Raw genomic sequence first — 7,557 nt, forward strand, 5'->3', positions numbered from 1 at the left:
GGGTGGCCAGATAAAATATAGGATGTTCAGTCAAATTTTAATTTGAAATAAAAAGATGAAAATAATTGTATAAGCATGTTTCTTTCATGCCATGTTTGGGACATATACTAAAAAAAATTATTCATTGTTTATTCTGAAATTGAAATTTAACTGGTCATCCAGCATTTCTATTTGACAAATCCAACAACCCTAAATCTACTCCAAGTGTATAAATAGCCGAATAATTATATCCTGATTTGTACTTGCTAAAATATTTTCCTGTAATAAAAGTAGTGCTGACAATCTTCCCAATTATAACAGATTCTATCAATGAGAACTTATTTATGGGAGAGTTATAGGAGACTGCATTTATTCATCACAAGATTTCCCCAAAGATTTTGTTGTTTTTCTTCTTTCTGCCATTTTCAGAAAATGGATAATTTATGCAGGAACAATTGGCCACACTGGCTTGTTGAATACATGGTAGATTTAGGAGAAAATATTCTAGTTTCTTAGAGAGCAGAGCAATTACACAAATGGTGTCCTTGGGTGACCACGTGAATTAAATACTTTGACATTCAAGTTGTGGCTTTTTTTCTTCTTTCCTATGGCAATTAAGCTGATTTGCAAAACAAAAAAGAAAGCCTACTTAAAGAGTTTAATATTAATATATTAGTCCCTCCTAAGCTGCTTCAAATCCTGTTGCATATTTCTATAGATCTACACTGTAGGAGACTCGTTTTTTAAAAATATTGCCAAACTTTGCCAATATTAATTTTAAGATACTTGAAGTTATTCATTCTCATTCAGCATTCACTTAGAAGAAGCTCCTCTTTCATTTCTCAACTTCAGATTTAATTTTAATTTTTTTTTGCTTAAAATGTTGAAAACTTGGCAAGAGTGTAAAACCAATGAGAGAACAGAGACTTTTAGTGTATGTTGATCTCCCTAAAAGGGGCTGAATGTTGTCAACTTTTTTTTTTTTACTGTTTGCTCTTTGAAAGACTGGAGTGCTCACTGAGTCCCTTTTACAAATAAAATGCCGGGCCTTTAAAAGCAGCAGGAATAAGACAACATTAGAGGTTCCAAAGGGCAGTTGCAAGGCTATACAGTCAGGTTAGCAGAAGATGAAGGTAGAAATTGGGACAACCAGAAGTTTAGGCAGGTAGCCTTCAGAAAAAAATCTAGAGGTAAAGGAGCTGTCTGTTTCCAGCAGGAGAAAGGACAGAATCCTCAACAAGATTAAGTGCTGAAAACCTGGAAAGCGTGCTTAAAGGTGACAGTATCTCTTTTTTCTATACCTCTACCTCCCACTCTACCATTCCCTTTCTCTTTCTATTCTTCTCACTGCCCTCACCTTGCTTTCTATTTGATGCCCTCACTTATCTTTTCCTACAACTGGGCCATAGCTTTCAGTTAAAAGAGCACCAGCACCTATCTGCAGTACTTTTGCTTAGCTTTCCCAGGAACATTCAGTTTATCAGACCTTTATGGAGAAGCAATAAGACAGAAAGAGATCACATTTGACACACGATGCCTCACTGCATTTAAAACAGAATCTTAGGATCTTACTCTTGAAATTTCAATCTTGATTTATCCACAGTACAAGTTTGCCAAGCTCACCTGAGGTTCCCTTGGCAGATTATAAAACATAATTTTGTACTGAATTTGGGAATTAATTTGGGTAAGATGGGGGTTACAAATGAGAGTTTCTTGTATGTATTCATTACATGCATTGTCATACATTTTGCTTAATATAACTTTTGAGTACAAAATACTGTTACCCCATTTACACAAACTTCCAGAACATAATTTGAAAATGACTTCTTTTTGTGATGTTGATCTCTTTTCATTTCCTTTTTCTAGAGCTAAAGCTCTACATTCACCAGATAAAATGAACTAAAATATGCATTAACTGTGTACATTTTAAATGTGCATTAAATGTCAATGTTGGAAAGGTTCATTAAAATTTAAGCATTCACAGGAAAATGATTATTGTCTGGAATGAAAAAGTAAAGCTCAGTTTTTCACTGAAAACGATAAACGATTTTCCAATGATTTTCCATTCTATGTTCTACCTCTTTGCTAAAGCCTAGAAGACGGCTGTGGCTAGATGGAGATTTAGCTACTGCCCTGGTTACTAACTACACTTAGTTTTCTACTTCTTATCTGTTTTGAAGGGGTTTATGTTCTTCCTTCGGAGATGATTTTTATCTTTGCCATTTTATTTGATTTATGCAAGTAAGTCCAACTATTCTTTTTTTCCTATGAACAAAGAATGTACAAAATTCAACTTTCTATTTGTACATGTCAGTACAAATGCTAGAAACTGTAAGGCATCTGAAAGGCTATTTTGACCCTAAATATCACTTACCCACATTTGCCACTGAGTCTAAATGTTTTCATTTTTTCATCCTTTGTAAGCTAAGACATTGAGTTGATTAAATAGACATGTTATCAGGGACTTGATCATACAATTACTCATTATCACCTCAGTTCCAAGAGTATCTTCTTTCAGCAACCCAGGAGAGATTTAAGAGGATAAAATAAAGGGAAGGAGTGTGAATCTTGTTACAGGGAAATGCTCCAGTAGGATATTGCGAAAAGGGGAGGTTATAAAAATTCCTTTCTCCAGTCATCTAATCTTATTACTTCAGAATTAAGGTGAATATTCTTCTTATCATTACAACTCTTAAAACATTGAATATGTAGTGTCAGTGGCTACCTCTTTCCTCCTGAAGATATAATAATACCAATCTCTTTCTCTATTTTTTATCCCCCATCAAACCCACATACCTTCATTTACTATAAATTAACAAACTGTATACAGTAGGGAAAACAAAACAACACCAAATTGAAATTGAGCAAAACAAATTTACCTAAAACAGATTATCTTAACAATGGAGACAATGTATGACAAGAAAATCTTATTAGGATAAATATATAGCAAGTATGGTATACATATCTAGTCTCCCATTGAATCAACTTGAAGTTTCGGATACGATTTTTTACCATCAGTGAAGAATGTGTAGAAATGTTGTGAGCTGATTCTAGTGAGAAGGATTCCTGCCAGTGGAAGGACAGAGGATATGGCTTTAGAGGGGTACAGAGGAAGGATGTTGCTTGATTTACACAGAGAGGAGAAGCAAAGAAAGCAAGTCATAAGGAGGTCACAGAGAACAAGACAGTATCCCTCACTGAGTCAAGAAGGAATAAGAACTAGAAGAAGGAGGGAGGAGCAGAAAGTATAGAAATTATATCAAATTTTTGCTGGAAGAAAAAGAAACACATAAAAATGGTCAATTTTGTATAAAAAGCAATAGATTAAACAGGAACTTGCAGCATTAAAAATTGTATATTAAAATGTTCATTTTGCTCATTTTCTAACTCTCACTTAATTCTGCATGAGCATGCTTTCCTTAAAAGTCATTTGCATCTTGGATGTTTCTTTAATGCCCTGGTACATGGGGAGGGAAGAAATGAAAAGATCAATCAGTTTTTATAGTTAAAAAAATAGTGTTTACCAGTAAGTAAAGGATTTAATAACGATTAGTGTTTATTAGAAGTAATTTATGTCTGGTATGTTTCAGAACCAAACATACAGGGGAACACTAGAAGACAAAGGAGAAAAAGACCATTTTGTGGTTGACAGAAATAATACTGATTACTATGAAAAAATGGTTCAGCAAAAAGTCTTAACACATTTAAAAGTGAAATTGTTCTGAATAGAGAAGCAAGATAGGGCAGGAAAGTTACATCATGACATGTCCCACCTAAAACCCTTTAGTGGCTCACCATTTAGGGCTGTGCATGATTTGGTCCTTATCTACCTCTCTAAATTTCATGTCTTGTGGTCTTTATCCTCCCACTCAACACTCCACCTCCAATACCTTTGTACAAGTTGCTATCTTATTTTGCTCCTCTCCCTTTTCCAACTCAAAGCCGGTTAAAATTTATTTATTCTTCGGATATCAGTAAACAACATGCTGAAATAGATTTGCTTCCTATTACACCATTAGGATAGAAAGGGAGATAGATAGCTAGATAATAGAGGTATCAGTTATACAGTATATTTAATTAATCGGGCATACAATTATTGTACAAACATGCCAATTTATCAGATAGAAAACAGCTTTGGAGAAACAATTTCTTTTTTAATTTTAATGCTTTAATTTTTATTTTTATTTTAATAGAGACAGGGTCTCACTATATTGTCCATGCTGCTCTTGAACTCCTGAGCTCAAACGATCCTCCTGCCTCGGCCTCTCAAAGTGCTAGGATTACAGGTATGAACCACTATACCTGGACTGAAGAAACAATTTCTTACTTAATCTTACTATGTGACAGAATCTCGGAACAGTACAGCTGGGAAGAAGTTATATTTTAAACAGAATGACAATATTATTGTGTTCTCGTTGGAGTTTGTCATTCAATATTGTCATTGAGTATTCTCACTATTCCATACAAAATACTACAGAAAGTTTGTTGGAGAGCAGGTATAGTCTTGTACTGAAGCTCCTATACAAAGTACATGGTGATGATGTGGCTGACTCAAATGGCTTGAACGTTGCCATCTTAGAATAGGCAGCAGAACAAGATATGCAATGCAACTTCTTTCTCGATAGATATTTTTGTGTGCTGAAAATAAATGATTCAGAGGTCCCTACCACTGAGTTGGATGATACTTTATTATTAAGTACTTAATGCGGTCAGATCATTTTAATCTCTTTATACAAAACTGACCCTGAAGGTTTGCAACAATTTGCAATTAGTAGCAGATAGTTTAATGAGAATAAAACCGTTTTTTAAACAAAATAAGTACCAGATACTGCTAAACATTTTTTAAGGAAGGCATGATATATGTATATAAAGGTTGTTCATTTTATCCACTTTTTTCCACAGTGTATATCATATGGTGTTATTCAATCGTATTTGTTAAATGAAAGAATGAAGAGTGATTGGTTCTCATAGAAATCAGGAACATATGGATATAATAACTTGCCCAAGATCACACAGCTAGTAAATGGTGGACTATAGTCATGTTTGATGCTCAAAATATTCTAGATTTTTTCCAAAATGCTTCACTACGCTGCCTTCCTATTATGTGTTCATCAGATAAAAATAATGACGAATTGGTATATTGTCTTAATTTATGAAATATTTCATTTAAAGTGTTTGTATATCTTAAAATTATCAAATCTGCTTTGCCTGTCACTATTATCACTTCTTTATAATTATTCCTTAGACATTATAACCAGAGGGCATATAATAGATTGTAATTTATCATTCAGGAGACTAGTCAAATGAATCATATTATAAGTTTTCATGTGTATCAAAAAAAACTTTTATTGTCACGAAAATGAATTTATGAGTTTATTATTGGAGTCAATGGTCCTGTGGAAGCATAGCTATTTACATCCTCATACCTTCTACATAAGGAAAAGTAATCAAATGCACAACCAATCCACATATATTATTTACTGGATCATATATTTAATTATTGCTTCCCTTGAAGTACCCATTAATGCTGTGTAAATAAAGGTTAAGCAGCCACACTGGCTACCATTGGTTTCAGCAACAAAATAACATTCAACAAACAACTAATGAGTGATTGTTATGTGTGTGTCAGACACTGACTCTACTTGGCACTTTACATCCCTCAGCTTTTTAATTTTCATAGCAACTCTAAAAAAGTAGGTACTATTATTATCATCTCTATTTTAAAGATTAGGAGTTTCAGACTCAGAGAGGTTAAGTGACTTGTTTAAGATCAAACAACTAAATTGTAGAATCAAAGTAGAATTTAGTAAAACTATTTGGCTACATGAACATGTTTTTTTAAAAACTATAGCCACTACTCAGATCAGAATCTGAGCTCAGGTTCAGAGGCCAGATAAAGAAAAATATGTATATAAAGCTGGCTTTGATACCTTAATGTTATTTGCTGAATTTTTAGACTCAGTTATTTTTACTATTTAAATTTTGCTCTAATCAAGGGCTTACAAGTTAATTACTCCTTAGTATACTTGTTCTTCATAATTGTAGCATTGTTTGCTTGTTTTGTTTTGTTTCCTAAGGGCACGGTGACCAGACTAACTCGGAGATAGGGTCTGATATTTTTATATATTTAGCTGAGAGGTAAACTAATATCCAAGTTCTAAATGTACAAATCTCATGTAAAGTAGAACAAAGAAATTATATTAAGCTATCATGTACAAATTCAAATTAACCTATCATTTTACTTAGAGTACAAGACAAGATCAAATTTTGGAACAGACACTAAAAAGCTCTTCTATTAATGACTCTCAGCGAAAGTGTATTGTTTTCATTTATGCCTGAATTTTCTCCTGAAAGGTAAGAAATGTTTTAAGCGATTGTGTTTTAATGAGAGTTTTACTTCCATCAAGATATTTACAAACACTTTGTTAATTTAAGAAATACTTTAAAAATTACACTGGAAGGAAATAAAATGATTATATTGAACGAAGAAGTGTTATTTGAGTTTTCGGATATCTACAGTGTATCTGGTCTTTTAGACTTTTAGATACTGCTGGGCCTATATCCAAAGAAAAGAAGTATGTCAAAGAGTATATCTGCACTGTTATGTTCATTGCAACACTACTCACAATAGCCAAGGTATGAAATCAACCTAAATATCCATCAACGGATGAATGGATAAATAAAATGCGGTATATATATATATATACAACGTAATACTATTTGGCCATAAAAAAAGAAGGAAATCCTTTTGTCATTTGCGGATGAATCTGGAAGATATAATGTTAAGTAAAATAAGCCAGGCACGGAAATGCAAATACTCAGTGATCTCACTCATATGTAGAATCTAAAAGAGTTGATTTCATAGAAGTGGAGTAGAATGGTGGTTACCAGAGGCTAAGGTGGTTAGAGGGGAGTGTAGGTTGGAGAGGTGTTAGTCAAAGGATACATAATTACAGTTAGATAAGAGGAATAAGTTCAGGAGCTCTATTGTATCAGTCCCCAACCTTTTTGGCACTAGGGACCGGTTTCATGGAAGACAATTTTTTTCCACAGATGGAGATGAGGGAGATGGTTTCAGGATGAAACTGTCCCACTTCAGATCATCAGGTATTAGTTAGATTTTCATAAGGAGCATGCAACCTAGATCCCTCGCACGTGAAGCTCACTATAGGGTTCGTGCTCCTATGAGAATCTTATGTTGCCATTGATATGAAAGGAGGCAGAGCTCAGGTGGTAATGCTTGCTTGCCCACCACTCACCTCTTGCTGTGTGGCCTGGTTCCTAATAGGCCACCAACATGGACCAGTCTGCAGCCCAGGGGTTGGGGACCCCTGCTCTATTGTATTGCATGGTGACTATAGTGAATGACAATGTATTGGAAGTCAGTGTGGCAATTCCTCAGGGATCTACAACTAGAAATACCATTTGACCCAGCCATCCCATTACTGGGTATATACCCAAAGGACTATAAATCATGCTGCTATAAAGACACATGCACACGTATGTTTATTGCAGCACTGTTCACAATAGCAAAGACTTGGAACCAACCCAAAAGTCCAACGATGATAGACTGGATTA

The 7,557-nt window shown here is 34.3% G+C and overlaps 1 annotated feature.

Annotated features, from left to right (window-relative positions):
• Positions 447–1,344: an enhancer, noted in NCBI's record as "OCT4-NANOG hESC enhancer chrX:113685459-113686356 (GRCh37/hg19 assembly coordinates)". NCBI's record gives its function as "activates a minimal SCP1, AML or CMV promoter by ChIP-STARR-seq in naive H9 embryonic stem cells {active_cell/tissue: H9 hESC(naive)}" and the evidence as "EXISTENCE:reporter gene assay evidence [ECO:0000049][PMID:30033119]".

This window comes from Homo sapiens, chromosome X (assembly GCF_000001405.40).
Source record: "Homo sapiens chromosome X, GRCh38.p14 Primary Assembly".
NCBI classification, from domain to species: Eukaryota; Metazoa; Chordata; class Mammalia; order Primates; family Hominidae; genus Homo; species Homo sapiens.